At 41.6% G+C, this 17162-nt stretch overlaps 1 protein-coding gene across 2 annotated transcripts in view; it reads left to right on the top strand.

Moving 5' to 3' along the window:
* SPTLC2 (serine palmitoyltransferase long chain base subunit 2) overlaps nucleotides 1-17162 on the top strand; it is a 110641-nt gene that overhangs the window by 11558 nt on the left and 81921 nt on the right. For both annotated transcript variants that reach the window (NM_004863.4, XM_011537384.3), the window contains exon 2: nucleotides 7700-7894. In NM_004863.4, the coding sequence (NP_004854.1) occupies nucleotides 7700-7894 (195 nt within the window). The remainder of the gene's footprint in view (nucleotides 1-7699; nucleotides 7895-17162) is intronic.

The following is a 17162-nucleotide window of genomic DNA, read 5'->3' as shown; positions in this document are numbered from 1 at the left end:
TGGTTACGCCACTCTACTCCAGCTTGGGCAGCAACAGAGTGAGACCCTGTCTCTTTAAAATAAATAAATAGGCCAAATGTTTAAAGTAGAAAGTCAAAGTGGCCAGCCATTCCACTACAAGATAACCAGTGTTTTCAGTTTGATTTATAGCTTTCCAGATTAGCATGTGTGTGCATGACTTTGTCATTTTACCTTTTTTTTTTTTTTTTTTTTGAGAAAGAGTCTTGCTTTTTTGCCCAGGCCGGAATGTGGTTGCAGGATCTTGACTCACCGCAACCTCCGCCTCCCAGGTTCAAGCAATTCTCCTGCCTCAGCCTCCCGAGTAGCTGGGATTACAGGCATGCACCACCACGCCCGGCTAATTTTGTATTTTTAGTAGAAATGGGGTTTCTCCATGTTGGTCAGGCTGGTCTCAAACTCCTGACCTCAGGTGATCCGCCCGCCTTGGCCTCCCAAAGTGCTAGTATTACAGGTGTGAGCCACCGCATCTGGCCGGGAAATATTTTTTAAAAATTTCTTGAAGCCCTTAAAGTTTACAGGCTCTGCTAACATGATAAATACCCAATAAAAATATAGAAAAGAAATTCTAAGAGATTTTAATATAGAATCATTATCTGTTAACTGTTTTAGTTGAGAGCAACAGAAACTGAGTCTGGTTAAACTAAGCAAAGAGTGATTTATTGGAAGGATGATAGGTATACAAAAATGGGATGGGGGATGAAATTGAACAAGTCTCAGAAAGGCAGGAATTGGCACAGCTCTTGGGACCTCAGTGGCAGGAGTTTGTGAACCCTTTCTTCAGGACATTGGAGACCCACTGCCCTTCAGACTCTCTCCCCATTGACATTTTAAATCCCCATAAAAGAGGGTTGTTGGATTTCTTTCGGCAGAGGTGTCTGTGCTGCATCAATCAGTTATGGTCCAGGAAATATAGTCACAACAAAGCATACACGTGACCACCAGGGGCGCATCCCTGCATATCAGGGAGTATTCCCAGAGAAGGGAAGTTGACACAAACCGGATTGCCTCTCCAGTGGTGTGCACCACAAAACCAGACTGGAGCACGTGGTGGGGGCAGAGTGGAGGGAATGGTATTACAGGCTCAGAACGTGTCAGCAGTGGAGGAGAACTCAGATGAAGATGCAGAATTTGTGGCAGAGCTGCACTTGTACTCCAGTCTTCAGGCTCTTGCATCTCTTACACCGTGATGCTTATCTAGAGATGGAAAAGTGTTACAGCGGAGGCTTGGGTGGCCAGTGTGATAACTCCTGGGCAGACATCAGTGCCCAGTGTGTACAGGATGCCACTGAACTGAAATGGAAATGTTCCACTCCATATATGCTTGAAGATCTCCTTTTGGGGGTTTTCAATAGCAAAATGGTAATGTCAAAATATAAATGTGTTTCACAGCTAGTTTTGGAAACATTTTTCATTCCATTCCACATGAGATACTTACTGACAAAAACTAAGGAATTTATGCTGCCTACACGAAAAACTATGGACTTCTACTTTTCAGAATTTCCCTGCTGAAAAAAGGAGACACTTCTGGACATACACATTCAGAGCACAGTATAGCCTATGTGATTTGTGTAAAGCTCCAAACTGTTCTCTCTAGTATGTGTGATATGCAGTAGGGAGAGGCCAGTACATTTCAGTAAAATTGCAAGGACAGTTTCAGCAGAACTGATTTTAAGGAGCAACAGAAACATAGCACTTGAAAATGAATAGGGTTCGTTTAATGGACAAAGCATGATAACAGTTCTTTGATTGCTGAAGAATAATGGGTGGTTCACATTAGACATTAAGTTTTTAAAAATAAAGTTCCAAACCATTCACCAGCTGGGCAGGTTCTGTTATCCTGCTGTAGCATGCAGCTGGAATGTGCTTATTTGCTTAAGGAAATTATGCTTTTGTGATTTTGTATTCATATCAGAAATGTGTGCTTCTGTTTCCTAATAATTACTTCACTGTTATTGGATTATAACATAGTTACTCCCTGTCCTTTCATGGGATTCTTGAAACCTTTATTCAGGATCATTTCTTCTGAGTCAGTTTACAGTGCAATAAAAACTGTTTTATTTTAATTATTTTTAAAAAATTTTCCTGAAACTTAAGAGACAGAAGGCAACATATAATCCAGGGTTTTCTTTTGCTATAGAGGATATCATTAGGACGTTTGACAAAATCTGAATAAACTTGTAGACTAGGCTGGGCACAGTGGCTCATGCCTGTAATCCCAGCAGTTTGAGAGACCAAGGCAGGAGGATAGCTTGAGCCCAGGAGTTTGAGACCAGCCTGGGCAATGTAGTGAAATCCCATCTCTACAATAAATCAGTAAATATTTATTGTATTAATCTTATGTTATCTTATGTTAATCTCTTATTGTGCTGTGGTCCCAGCTTCCTGGGAGGCTGAGGCCGGAGGATCACTTAAGCCTGAAAGGTAGAGGCTGCAGTAAGCCATGATCACACCACTGCACTCCATCCTGGGTGGCAGAGTGAGATGCTGTCAATAGAAAAAAAAAAAAAAAAGAAACAAACCTTTTCAACCTCCTTAAAATTCTCTCGTGCCCCACAGGAAGCTCTTGGACTAAAGCACAGAAAGTCATTACTAATTCTATCTGGAAGCCAGAAAATAAGGTGGAGCCAAAGATGACTCCAAACTTGGGAGACTGGGTAGACTGGATGGTGATGCTGTTGACCAAAATAGGTAATAGAAGAGGAGTATCAGGTTTTAACTGAGAGGGAGGGTTAGGATGGTGAGAAGAAGTTCAGCTTTAGACTTGTTGAGTTTGAGGTGCCCATGAAGTCTAAGTGGAGCTATGTAGAAGGCAGGTGGAAATGCGAATGTGGAGTTCTGGAAAGGAATTTGGGATTGCAGTGTAGACTTGAGCTTACTTGTAGCATCTGAGGTCTAGCTGAGAACTCCTAAGTAGATGAGAATTCACTAGAGAGGCTATAGATAGGCAAGTTTAAAGAGAAGGGTAGAGACACGGAGAAGGGGGTTGGGGAGCAGCCAAAGCAGGCGTCCCCGCAGTTGACTTGCCACCAAGGGAATGTGGGTGAATGACCAAGGCAGGCGTCCCCATGGAGATCAGACACCAAAGGAACGTGGGTGAATAATCAGAGAGGCATCCCTGCAATGATTAAACACCAAGGGAAGGCTGCCTTCCCGAGTCCGTGACCGGCACCGGAGTTTTGGGTCCACGGATAAAATGTGTCTCCTTTGTCTCTATCAGAAAATGAAAGGAATTGAAATTAAGAGAAGGGAGAGATTGAAGGGTGGCGCCAAGATTGAAAGGAGAAAGAGGTTGAGGGATAGTGAGAGAGGTTGGAGAAAAGAGTAAAAAGAGGCCGCTTACCCGATTTAAAATCGGTGAGATGTTCCTTGGGCTGGTTGGTCTGAGGACCTGAGGTTGTAGGTAGATCTCTTCACGAAGTGAGGATGAGGACAGGGGACTGGTCTCCCGAAGGAGTCCCGCTGACCCTGGTCTTTGGCACCAAATGTTTCACGTGTGCATGTGAAGAGACCCCCCCAAACAGGCTTTGTGTGAGCAACAAGGCTGTTTATTTCACCTGGGTGCTAGTGGGCTGAGTCCAAAAAAGGAGTCAGCAAAGGGCGGGAATTATCATTAGTTCTTATAGGTTTTGGGATAGGCGGTGGAGTTAGGAGCAATGTTTTGCAGGCAGCGGGTGGATCTCACAAAGTACATTGTCAAGGGTGGGGAGAATTATAAAGAACCTTCTTAAGGGTGGGGGAGATTACAAAGTACATTGATCGGTTAGGGTGGGGCAGAAACAAATCACAATGATGGAATGTCATCAGTTAAGGCTATTTTCATTTCTTTTGTGGATCTTCAGTTGCTTCAGGCCAGCTAGATGTATACGTGCAGGTCACTGGGGATATGATGGCTTAGCTTGGGCTCAGAGGCCTGACAATATATACTCGTAAAAAACAAGAAAAGAAAAATCAAAGCAGTTTAGAAGGTTATAAACAAAAAATATGCCATCTTGTCCCACCCTACTCCTTACCACATTTTCTTGTGTCTCCTTCGAGACAATTTTAGTCTTATGGAAACATATGTATTACACATATGGCTTATCTTTTATTATACTTTCCCATTATTGCTTTGGTTAGGAGTGCCTTTTCAGCTGCTTAATAAACATGGTTGACAGCCCACAGGCATGTGGACAAAATGGCCCATTAGATTGATTTTTTTTCCTTCTCTTGTTCTGTAATGTGTTTTATGATGGTGTGCTTATAGTCTTGTCGGAAAAAAATTTCTTCCTTTGCATTTTTATTTTCTTTTACATTTTCTTAAACAGTAATATTACTGTTCAAGCAAACATTTCTTGATATTCCTAAATCTTTCCTTGATTAATAATGCTAATATAGTGTCACATTCTTGTTTGCTTAATGTGAACAGACTGTGAACAGACTGATACGAAATGTTATTAAGTGTTAACTATTTATTAAGACTTCATAAATACTACCCTGGGTGCTAGACGTGCAATAATGAGCAAAACAGACCTGGTGTTTTTCCTCATGGATTATTACCTATGTATAAGAGAGTAATACCATTATTGTTTGAATCATGTGAAAGATAAGATTTAGCATCAGTTCTTAAAGGTGAAGTGATTTTGTTCTCTCAGAGTTTAAAGACTTTTCACCTTGGAGAGGCTCGCGTGTCAGTTGGCGTGCCCATCTGCCTCCCTGTATCATCAGTCACTCTGTTTTGACAGAAGCCACATTCCAAAGTCACTTCTTTTCACAGGTTCTGAAGGTGGAAAAAAAGAAACCCCAGCCACTTCCTAGTTGAACCTAAATTCTTTAAAATACATTTAATTTTGAATAAGGCTTTGGTAAAATCACACAGTTCTTCATAATGGTTTAGCATCCTCCTTCCTAGAGAGTCCAGCCTACAGTATGAATTGACCTGATCCTGCCTGTGTGGGTGTGCCTGAAATCAAGGCGGATATCTTTAAAAGAGACCCACCCATAGCATTCCTGACCTGTAAACTCGCTGCATGTTGGATTGAGACTGCGGTGGGGGGGCTCTGTAATTTCCAGGCTTTTTAATGATGTGTACAGTTGAGAGTAAATAGTTTAAATAATTTCATAGTTAGGGAGAGTTCAGCACTGGTATTAAACAGAGTTCTTAAGGCAAAATATTTTCAGATACAGTTCTTAAAGAGATGATCAGAATGTTAATTTTTCTTGTCTTTTAAATTGCTTTTCATTTTGCTTTGCCCAGCTTAATAACTTTTTTATATTGTTATGTTGTTAATTTTTAAACAATTTTCTGCCTTAAGATATTGGCTCAATTTTAGGTATTCTGTTCTAAACACATTACAGTCTTACTCCCATTTAAAAGTTTAAGTATTAAATATTGACACCAAACTTTTTCTGCTGTGTGGAAGAGATTGATGAAGACCCAAATGAGTTTGTGAATAGTTTTCAGAAGTTATTTAGATCATCAAGTTGAATCAGTACCAACAGATTCCATCCATCTTCCATGCCTATCTGAATGCCTGTCCTTTGTCACATACAACTGTGTCTTTCCGAACTATTCCAGTCTGTAACACTGAAGCAGCTTTCCAAAACTAACATTACGGGGATAGGATATTCTAAAATATCTTTACCCCTTGGATATGTATAACAATTGATTGTATAGTTATGTAAATTTTATTAATTTGTTTTTATTTGTTTATATCGTATCTCTGATCAGATTGCCTGAGAGGGCAAGAAAGGATCTTTTAGTTCTTTGGGACCTTTTGTAATGCTTAATTGACGATATGCCCCTGGTAAATTTTGTTTAACCATCCTCACTGCAGTTGTTCCAAAGTTAAGATTAAAGTTAACACACAAACTTGTCTAGCAGATATCTTCTATAAAGCAAGATTTCCATTAAAATTGACCAAGAAGCAAAAAGTTTTCATCTATGAGATCAAAAGTAAAGTAGCTTGGTTTTTGTGTATTAAAATCCAAGTATCCCAAAGGTTAAAACAAGGGATAATCTTACGATGTTTGGGAATGAATACTTAAGATGAAGGGGGACAGAAAAATTCATGTCAGTTACTAACAATTTTTCCCCTTGTTTTGGGTTTCACTTTCTTTTTACTTTTATATAATGCTGGGCCACACTTTTTTTTTTTTTTTCTGTATCACCTAGGCTGTAGGGAAGTGGCATGATCATGGCTCACTGCCATCTCGACCTTCTGGGCTCAGGTGATCCTCCCACCTATCTCCTGAGGACCTGGGACTACAGGCATGTGCCACCATGTCCAGCTAGTGTTTTTGTTTTTTGTTTTTGTAGAGGCAAGATTTTGCCATGTGCCCAGGCTGGTCTCAAACTCCTGGGCTCAAGTTATCTGCCCACCTTGGCCTCCCAAAGTGCTAGGATTACAGGCATGCGCCACTGCACCCAGCCTGGACCACACTTATATAAACATCTTAGTTTTTTGCATGATTTACTTGTGTTATCACTACCAACAAAGGTTAATTTGAACTACGTGTTTCTGCAGGGGCCTACTGCTGATAATTATTTGGAATACTATGGCTGGGTGGCTTTAAGAATGTGTGGTAGTAAAACATTTACAAATATTTTACATTCTAATAAAGCTGAATTTACTTTTGAACTTTTGATCTCTTCATCTGTAGGCCAATATAGTACTTTTTTGGGACAGGCTTTCTCTTTGTTGATTTATATTTTTTGCTTTTTTTATTAGAACAAAAGAAATTATGCTAGCATTTTAGAATCTATTTAAGAAAATCAAATAATGATAAAAATCAGTGTTAGGTGGTGTTCTTATGCAGTCCTTCTTGCTCCCCTTCTTTTACTGTTCATCTGAAGGGCATATAATTTATAAGTTATTTCTATTGAAAACAAGTAGCCCTGCTTATCTCTTAGTGTTAGATTTGACTGTTGCTTACAAAATTCTTTTTTTTTTTTTTTTTGAGATGGGGTTTCGCTCTTATTTCCCAGGCTGGAGTGCAATGGCTTGATCTCGGCTCCCCACAACTTCCATCTCCAAGGTTCAAGCAATTCTCCTGCCTCAGCCTCCTGAATAGCTGAGATTATAGGCATGCGCCACCACACCCACCTAGTTTTGTATTTTTAGTAGAGATGGGTTTTCTCCATGTGATCAGGCTGGGCTTGAACTCCCAACCTCAGGTGATTCGTCCGCCTCGGCCTCCCAAAGTGCTGGGATTATAGGCGTGAGCCACCGTGCCTGGCCTAAAATTCTTTTTTTTTTTTTTCTTGTTTCCAGTGAGGTTGGAACTTAGAAAATTCCTTTTTTTTTTTGACACGGAGTCTTGCTCTGTCACCCAGGCAGGAGTGCAGTGGCGTGATCTTGGCTTACTGCAGCCTCCACTTCCCAGATTCAAGCAACTCTCCTCCCTCAGCCTCCCAAGTAGCTGGGATTAGAGGTGTGCACCACCAATCCTGGCTAATATTTGCATTTTTAGTAGAGACAGGTTTCACCATGTTGACCAGGCTGGTCTTGAACTCCTGACCTCAAGTGATCTGCCCGCCTCAGCCTCCCAAAGTGCTGGGATTACAGGTGTGAGCCAGTGCGCCCGGCGGAACTTAGAAAATTCTTAAGGTATAATTCAGCAAATCTCTAAGGACCTAGATTTTAGGTAGGAATGTTTTTCTTGCCATGATGGAAATAAACATTTTTAACCTCTCTTTTAGATCCATCATGTTACACAAAATGGAGGACTATATAAAAGACCGTTTAATGAAGCTTTTGAAGAAACACCAATGCTGGTTGCTGTGCTCACGTATGTGGGGTATGGCGTACTCACCCTCTTTGGATATCTTCGAGATTTCTTGAGGTATTGGAGAATTGAAAAGTGTCACCATGCAACAGAAAGAGAAGAACAAAAGGTAACTGTTAGAGAGTTTTTGATTCTGTAAATAGAAGCCTTTTATGGAAATCTTAGTATTTTTGCACAAAAGCTTTTTCTCAGAAATTTGGGTACACATTAAAATTAAACTATTCCAGATGCAGTTAAATGAAAACATTCTACAAAGAAAGCTGAAAAATAACAAGGTTAAAGATATCAAAGCATTCATCATGGGTTTAATCAAGAAGAACCTAAGGAGGTGGGCGGCACTATCCCTGTTTTATGGATTAGAAATCAAAAAGTCACAAGTTAAACAACGTTTCCCAAGATGCCAGGTGTCAGAGCTGCTGTGTGGACAGAGGACTGTGAAGTGAAAAAGCCTTGCTCTTTCTGTTCATACCAGCATGCTGAATCCCAGGTTGTGTTTACCATTTTCTGAAAAGGTTGTATTCTTTGGAATTAATAATGTGTTTTCTCATAGATACATTATACATAGTTGGGTGATTCACACATCAGCTCCTCTCCCCAGACAAACAAGCTGTAATACAGAATGTGGCCAACCGATTCTATTTACGGTAAACAACACTCTTGTTTTAGGAATGGCAAACATATGAGCATGGTTGTCTGGGGAAGAGGGCTTCTTCATTCACTTCACTTTTCTCTGCATGTTCCTTTGTACCTCTGAAGGGTTTTTTGTTTGTTTGTTTGTTTGTTTATTTTTTGAGACAGAGTCTCGCTTTGTCAACCCAGGCTGGAGTGCAGTGGTGCGATCTCGGCTCACTGCAAGCTCTGCCTCCTGGGTTCACACCATTCTTCTGCCTCAGCCTCCCAAGTAGCTGGGACTACAGGCACCTGCCACCACGCCCGGCTAATTTTTTTTTTTTTTTTGAGACAAGTCTTGCTCTGTCGCCCAGGCTGGAGTGCAGTGGCTCGGTCTCGGCTCACTGCAAGCTCCGCCTCCCGGGTTCACACCATTCTCTGGCCTCAGCCTCCCCAGTATCTGGGACTACAGGTGCCTGCCACCGTGCCCGGCTAATTTTTTTTGTGTTTTTAGTAGAGACGGGGTTTTACTGTGTTAGCCAGGATGGTCTCAATCTCCTGACCTTGTGATCCACCCACCTCGGCCTCCCAAAGTGCTGGGATTACAGGTGTGAACCACTGTGCCTGGCCAGTTTTTTTGTTTTTTTTACTTGTTATTGACTTGAAGCTCACTTCTGGAGTTGTATACATTACATATGTGTTACCTAGTCTCCATAAATAAATAAAATGAGGGTTAAAGATGCCTAATTTTACTAAAAATAAAACAAACCTGTGTGTTCTTGGCATGTCCCACATGGCAAAAGGTTGTCTTTTAGCCCAGGCAAATGTACCAGATTAGAGAAGGACTTAAGACATTAGAGTTTTTTTGTGGTTCCTGTGCGTCCGAGGAAAAGAGGCAGGTGTGGGGTGAGCAAAGTCAACGCTGAGACGAGCCAGTGAACATTGATTGTAGAAGAAACAATTATTCAGGTAATGGATAGTGGTCATGTGCAAATGGGAAGAGTATATCACGAAAACATTGTCAGTTACTAGGAAGACAAAACCAGTCAGTAGATACATGGATTCAAAAGTGGCTCCTGGGAGAACTCAAGATTAGGCATCCTTTCTCTCTCATCTCAACCATCTTGTACTCCATCCGAGCCCCAGCACAAGTTGGCCATCCTACTCATTGCCCTGCAAGTTAATTTCACAAAGAAGGTAAATAAGTTTTTTGAATGCAAAGCCCTGCATTCAGAAGTTGGTCCAGTAACCCTAAGTAATTTTTATCTTTTAAAACCCAAACACATTTTTAACATTTTTTATTTTATTATCATTATTTTTTAGACAAGAGTCTCGCTCAGTCACCCAGGCTGGAGTACAGTGGTGTGATCTCGGCTCACTGCAACCTCCGCCTCCCGGGTCCAAGCAATTCTCATGCCTCAGCTTCCCAAGTAGCAGGGAGTACAGGCATGTGCTACCACTCCCGAGATAATTTTGTATTTTTAGTAGAAACGAGGTTTCACCATGTTGGCCAGGCTGTTCTCAAACTCCTTGACCTCAAACGATCCACCTGCCTCGGCCTCCCAAAGTGCTGGGATTACAGATGCGAGCCACTGTGCCTGGCCCACATTTTTAATACGTTTTGATCCCCCTTCTCCCCCTGAGCATGTCCACTCAGAGTGCATCTACAGTACGTTGATTTTGTATAGCCCTCAGTGACAGCTTACCATACCCTTCCTAGGTTGTACAGTATTGTAGTTACTTGTTCACAGGCCTGTATCCTCCTACTAGACTGAGTTGATGGCAGTTATGACCGATGGTAGCTGAAGTTTTATTTAAATATTCAAACTAAAAACTCTTTATCTGCAGGGACCTCTCCTAGTGTAGATGCATAGTCGAAACTTGATAATTGACGTGTATTGCTGGTGGTGAGGGAAGTGCTGATTGTGGTGCAGACAGCACATTCCTGGATGAGGGGATAGTATAGGCAAAGGCATGAAGAATGTTTGGGAGAATCTGGAATGTAGACAGAAGAGAAATTGTGTTTTGAAAATCAAAGTAAGAAGTTTGGTAGGCAATGAGGAGTATTGTTTTTGTTTTTGTTTTTAAATAGAGACAGCGTCTCGCCATGTTGCCCAGGCTGGTCTCAAACTCCTGTGCTCAAGCGATCCTCCTGCCTTGGCCTCCCAAAGTGTTGGGATTATAGGAGTGAGCCACCATGACCCCAAGGGCAGTTTTTGATCAGGGGATTTTTCATACAGCTTGTGCAGCTGGTGCTCAAAGTGTGATGAATGAATGAAACCAACAAGATGTATCTGAATTACTTTGTGAGTACATTATCTTTGGAACTTGTTTCATGTTTACAGAAAGTAAATTGGTGGTTTAAGTGTTGGGAGCTGCCTGTGTATCCTTTGTGTGAAAGAATTAGAACACACAGATTTTATTCTTAAGTAGTTTCTAATTTTGTTGAGGAAACAAACATTTGAAAGTTATGGGCCTTTGCAAAACCATTATACAAGTAAATAATACTTAGATTATATGAAGATATAGAACAAAAAAAGTATCTGAGTAGCATAGGGTTAATCAGGAAACAATTCTTGGAGGAAGTAATACAAGGAAATGGGAGGCTGAGGAGAGCATTTGCCTCTGCAGTTTATGGAGAGGATTTTATTAAATTATTCAAATTCATTTCAATAGAATATTCCCAGTAGATAACATTAGCATTTAAAACAGCCAACTTCTGCCATTTTCTTACAAAAATTCAGCTTTTAGAGGGAAAGGAAAAGTCATTCCTTTCCTGTGATAGATCATGTTTGTTTTCTAATGTTGGATTAGAGATGGGGAAAGAGGGAGGCAAATTAAGTGTTAAACTGGAAGGAGGTGAGGGAAAGTGGTTGCTTGGGATCATAAAATGCAAACATAATGTTGCTACTTCCTCATTTCACTGAGAGAGTGGTATTCATAACCACATCCTGGTTTTCTTCCTCATTTCATTATAAAAGAGAGCCCAGTTTAACTGTGTTAATTCTTTGATGTAAGGAAATACCGTATGTTGCTTTGAATACAACTAAATCACATGATCATACCAATAAAGATGAGTTACCATGAGTTTGTTCTATTTTATATACATTGCATAAAATTCTTGGAATTCTTTACCCCTTAATCCTCTGTTATTCGTGGTGTTTTGGATGAGAATGTTGTTTTTCTCAATCTATGGATTATTTCTTTGTGATGTGAGGTGAAGCTAGTAGTTCAGAAACACGTACGTGACAGATACAGCAAAAGCTTGAATTAATAAAGATGTTCTAGGCTGAGGCAGGAGGATCACTCAAGGCCAGGAGTTTGAGACCAGCTGACACAACATAATGAAACCTCATCTCTACAAAATGAAAAAATTTAATTCAGAAAAAAATATTCTAATATTTAGATAGGAAATAGCTAGGAACGTAAGGAGTAAATTATGGTAGGTAGTTACCACACACTGACAAAATTTTAAACTAACATTTTGCCTCCACAGCTTGTTCATGATCAGATATTTAAAAACGGGAGGACCAAATACCACATTCTCACTTATTTTTTAATTTTTTTAATTTTTTTTTTTTTTGAGATGGAGTCTCACTCTGTCGCCCAGGCTGGAGTACAGTGGCGTGATCTCGGCTCACTGCAATCTCCGCCTCCACGGTTCAAGTGATTCTCTTGCCTCAGCCTCCCAAGTAGCTGGAATTACAGTCATGCACCACCACGCCCAGCTAATTTTTTGTATTTTTAGTAGATACAAGGTTTCACCATGTTGGCCAGCCTGGTCTCAAACTCCTGACCTCAGCCTGCCTTGGCCTCCCAAAGTGCTGGGATTACAGGAGTGAGCCACCGTGCCTAGCCTGTTCTCACTTATAAGTGGGAGCTAAATGATGAGAACATATGGATACAAAGAGGAAAATGACACTTGTGGTGGGTAGGAAGAGGGAGAGGATTAGAAAAAATAACCCATTGGGTGCTAGGCTTAGTACCTGGGTGACAAAATAATCTGTACAACAAGCCATTGTGATGCGAGTTTACCTGCACAACCTGCACACGTACCCCTGAACCTAAAATAAAAGTTACAAAAAATAAGTAGATTAAAAATGGGAGGGATAGGATACGGCGAAGGGACATTATATGTTTATATCCCAATAGGCTTATTTTCAAGATACAAAAGAAAGAAAGAAATTCAAATACATTACTAGGAATTCCCAGAGGGATTTTATTCTTGGCCTCCTTCAAAAAGTAGCGTACAGCCGGGTGCGATGGCTCACACCTATAATCCCAGCACTTTGGGAGGCCGAGGTGGGTGGATCACCTGAGGTCAGGAGTTCAAGACCAGCCTGGCCAACGTGATGAAACCCCATCTCTACTAAAAATACAAAAATTAGCCAGGCGTGGTGGTGGGCACCTGTAATCCCAGCTACTTGGGAGGCTGAGGCAGGAGAATGGCTTGAACCTGGGAGGCGGAAGTTGCAGTAAGCTGAGATCTTGTCACAGCACTCCAGCCTGGGCAATAGAGACTGTCTCAAAATAAAAAAAAAAAAGTAGCGTACTAAGAATATTCTGGTACCTGTCATTTTGGTGCATTAAGCTAGGGGATTGATTGTTTGGTTTGTCTTCTTTAATTCTGTGTATGATTCTACATTTAAAAAGAACACAACTGGCTGGGCACGGCGGCTCACGTCTATAATCCTAGCACTTTGGGAGGCCAAGGCGGGCGGATCACCTGAAGTCAGGAGTTGAGACCAGCCTGACCAACATGGTGAAACCCGGTCTCTACTAAAAATACAAGAATTATCTGGGGCGTGGTGGCACATGCCTGTAATCCCTGCTACTTGGGAGGCTGAGGCACGAGAATCACTTGAACCAGAGAGGTGGAGGTTGCAGTGAGCCAAGATCACACCATTGCACTCCAGCCTGGGCAACAAGAGAGAAACTCCGTCTAAAAATAAATACATACATACATACATACATACATACATACATACATACAGAAGAGCACTACTTAGCTCCCCCAGAATCATCTGAACCTGGGAGGTGGAAGTTGCAGTGAGCTAAGATTGCACCACTGCACTCCACCCTGGACAATGGAGCGAGATTGTCTAAAAAAAATAAGAAGAATAAAAAATAAAGAGCACTGTATTTCATTGTTTTGTGTTAGTTGCTGGGCACAGGACAGCAGTAGTCTTTTTAAATAATTGACATATCATAAAGGTTACCTATTTAAAGTGTACGATACAATGGTTTTTAGTATATCTACAGAGTTGTGCAGCCAGCACCACAATTTAATTTTGTAATGTTTTTCTCTTCTGAAAAAGAAACCATGAACCATTAGCAGTCACTCCTTCCTCATCCACCCTCCCCACCCTCGGCAGCCACTAATCTACTTTCTGTCTCTGTAGATTTACTATTCGGGACTTTTCATATAAATGGATGTTTCATGTAAATGGGATCATACAGTGTATGTTCTTCTGTGTCTGGCTCCTTTCACTTGGCGTAATGTATTTGAAGTTCATGTTGTAGCATGTATCGGTACTTCATTGCTTCCTATTGCTGAATAATATTTCATCATATGGAGCAGTCATCTCTACTTACTATAGGGATTTCTCACTGGTAAAAAACTATACTCAAAATAAACCTTTCAAAGAAGCTTTGTGTAGTAGGTTTACCACTGTATCTGTTTGGACTAGTGGCAGTAGGTTTACCTCTGTATCCGTTTGGACTAGTGCCAGTGTTAGGTTTGCAAGAGTTTCCCTGTTACCTGTTTTCCCTGTTTTTCATGCCAGGAAAGCTTTTCCTTCAAATAGTCCCATGGCTAGTTCCCTCACTTCCATTTTATCCTCTGTTCTACCCAGGGCACCCCAGCTAATTTGCAGCATGTCTCCCCCTTTCCTTTTTGCTTTTGTTTCTGTTGGTATTTGTCACTGTCTAACATACTTTATTTATTTTTATTTTTATTTATTTTTATTTTCTTGAGACAGTGTCTTGCTCTGTTGCCCAGGCTGGAGTGCAATGGCGCGATCTCGGCTTACTGCAACTTCTGTCTCCCAGGTTCAAGCAATTCTCCTGCCTCAGCCTCCAGAGTGGCTGGGACTACAGGCATGTGCAACCACACCTAATTTTTGTGTTTTTAGTAGAGACAGGGCTTTGCCATGTTGGCCAGGCTGGTCTTGAACTCCTGGGCTCATGTTTATCTATCTGCCCACCTCGGCCTCCCAAAGTGCTGGGATTACAGGCGTGAGCCACTGAGCCTGGACTAGCAAACTTTGTATTTTATATGTTTATCTCTTCCACCAGAATACAAATTCCAAGAGGGCAAGGATTATTACCTTTTTGTTTACTACTCTGTACTATAGAGTGCTTGGCACATATTAGACGCTCGGTAAATGTTTAAGATACAAGGCCAGAGGCCAGGCGTGTTAGCTCACACCTGTAATTTCAAGCACTTTGGGAGGCTGAGGTGGGAAGATAGCTTGAGCGCAGGAGTTTGAGACCAACCTGAGCAATGTAACAAGACCCTGTCTCAACAAGAAAATTAAAAAATTAGCTGGGTGTGGTGGCCTACACCCATAGTCTTAGCTACTTGGGAGACTGAGGTGGGAGGATCACTTGTACCTAGGAGTTCAAGGCTGCTGTGAGCTGTGATTGAGCCACTGCACTCTAGCCTGGGTGACAGAGTGAAACCTTGTCTTTTTTTTTTTTTTTTTTGAGACAGGGTCTTGCTCTATCATCCAGGCTGGAGTGCAATCGCATGATCTCAGCTCACTGCAGTCTCTGCCTTCTGGGTTCAAGTGATTCTCATGCCTCAGCCTCCTGAGTAGCTGGGACTGCAGGCGTGCACCACCACGCCCAGCTAATTTTTTGTATTTGTGTGTGTGTGTGTGTGTGTGTGTGTGGAGACGGACTCTCGCTCTGTCGCCCAGGATGGAGTGCAATGGCGCAATCTTGGCTTACTGCAACCTCTGCCTCCCGGGCTTAAGCGATTCTTCTGCCTCAGTCTCCCAAGTAGCTGGGATTACAGGCATCTGCCATAACACCTGGCTAATTTTTGTATTTTTAGTAGAGACAGGGTTTCACCATGTTGGCCAGGCTGGTCTTGAACTCCTAACCTTAGGTAATCTGCCCACCTCGACCTCCCAAAGTACTGGGATTACAGGCATGAGCCACCGTGCCTGGCCATTATCTCTAAAAAAAAAAAAAAAAGTTTAAGATATGAATGGTATTGTGAGTGGTGGTAACAGTAACAATGTAAAGTATTTTGAAGTATTTGTAGTCGAGGTAGGTGTGTACGTACACACATGCACACACAAACATACAAATGACTGTTTTAGATGTAGGAAAAACCAGTGTTTTTTTATCTTGAAATCTCATTCTGCGCTTTCATGGACAGCATAGAAACAGCAAGGAAGTGGCTTCCTGTTTTTAACATTAAAAACAGGAAAGGACAGACGGTGGTATGACCTATATGAACAGTAAGGAAAGTCGTTAATTAACCATGGTTGAAAGGTTTAAAAGTTGTAGTCTGAAAACCTTTCATTGAGTATTTCACCTACTTTTCTTCATTAAGTAGAGATAAAAACAGAATTATTGGTTTATAAAATACTTTTAGAATTTATAATGCTTTCCTTTTCCCTTTTTCTTTTCTTTCTTTGTGTGTTTTTTTTTTTTTTTTTTTTTTTTTTTTTTTTTGAGACAAGGTCTTACTCTGTCACCCAGGCTGAAGTGCAGTGGCACAATCTCAGCTCACTGCAGCCTCGACCTCCCTGTGCTCAGGTGATCCTCCCACCTCAGCCTCCGGAGTTGCTGGAACTACAGGCACGTACCACCATGCCCTGCTAATTTTTGTGTTTTGTTGTAGAGACTGGGTTTTGCCCCCAGGCTGATCTTGAACTTCTGGGCTTAAGTGATCCGCCTGCCTCAGCCTCCTAAAGTGCTGGGATTATAGGCATGAGCCACTGTGCCTGGGCCAGATTTTTTTTTTTTCTTTTCAGAGACAGGATCTTGCTCTGTTGCCCAGGGTTGAGTGCAGTGGCACAATCTCAGCTCGCTGCAACCTTTGCCTCCCACGCTCCAGTGATTCTCCCACCTCAGCTTCTTGAGTAGCTGGGACTAGAGGCGCACGCTACCACAACTGGCTAATTTTTGTTTTTTTTTTTTTGTAGAGACAGGGTTTCGCCTTGTTGCCCAGGTTGATCTTGAACTCCTGAGCTCAAGCGATCCACCTGCCTTGGCCTCCCAAAATCCTGGGATTATAGGCATCCACCACTGCGTCCAACTATAATGAATTTTAACTGTGTGATGACTCCATTTTCAACACTTCCTCAGGTGGGAATTATTTGGGATTTAAAAATTCTTAATTTAAGTTTTGAAACAACTTTGTCATGTTTCAGTTACTTCTAAATCTATCTCATAAGGCTATTTCCTTCTTTAGTAGAAAATACATTTTCCAGCTGGGTGTGGTGGCTCATACCAATAATCCCAGCAGTTTGGGAGACTGAGGCAGGAGGATTGTTTGAGGTTAGGAGTTTAGACTGGCGTGGGCAACAGAGAGAGATCTTGTCTCTACAAAAAATTTAAAAATTAGCCAAGCATGGTGGTGTGCACCTGTATGTAGTCCTGGCTACTTGAGAGGCTGAGGTGGGGAGATAGCTTGAGTCCAAGAATTTGAGGCTGCAGTGAGCTATGATCATGCCACTTCTCTCCAGCCTGGGTTACAGAGTGAGACACTGTTTCTAACAATAACAACAACAACAACAACAAATGTTGCC

The sequence above is a fragment of the Homo sapiens genome, chromosome 14 (assembly GCF_000001405.40).
Source record: "Homo sapiens chromosome 14, GRCh38.p14 Primary Assembly".
In the NCBI taxonomy this organism is placed as follows: Eukaryota; Metazoa; Chordata; class Mammalia; order Primates; family Hominidae; genus Homo; species Homo sapiens.
The sequence above is the reverse complement of the archived record's forward strand: the minus strand, read 5'-3'. Positions and strand labels throughout refer to the sequence as shown.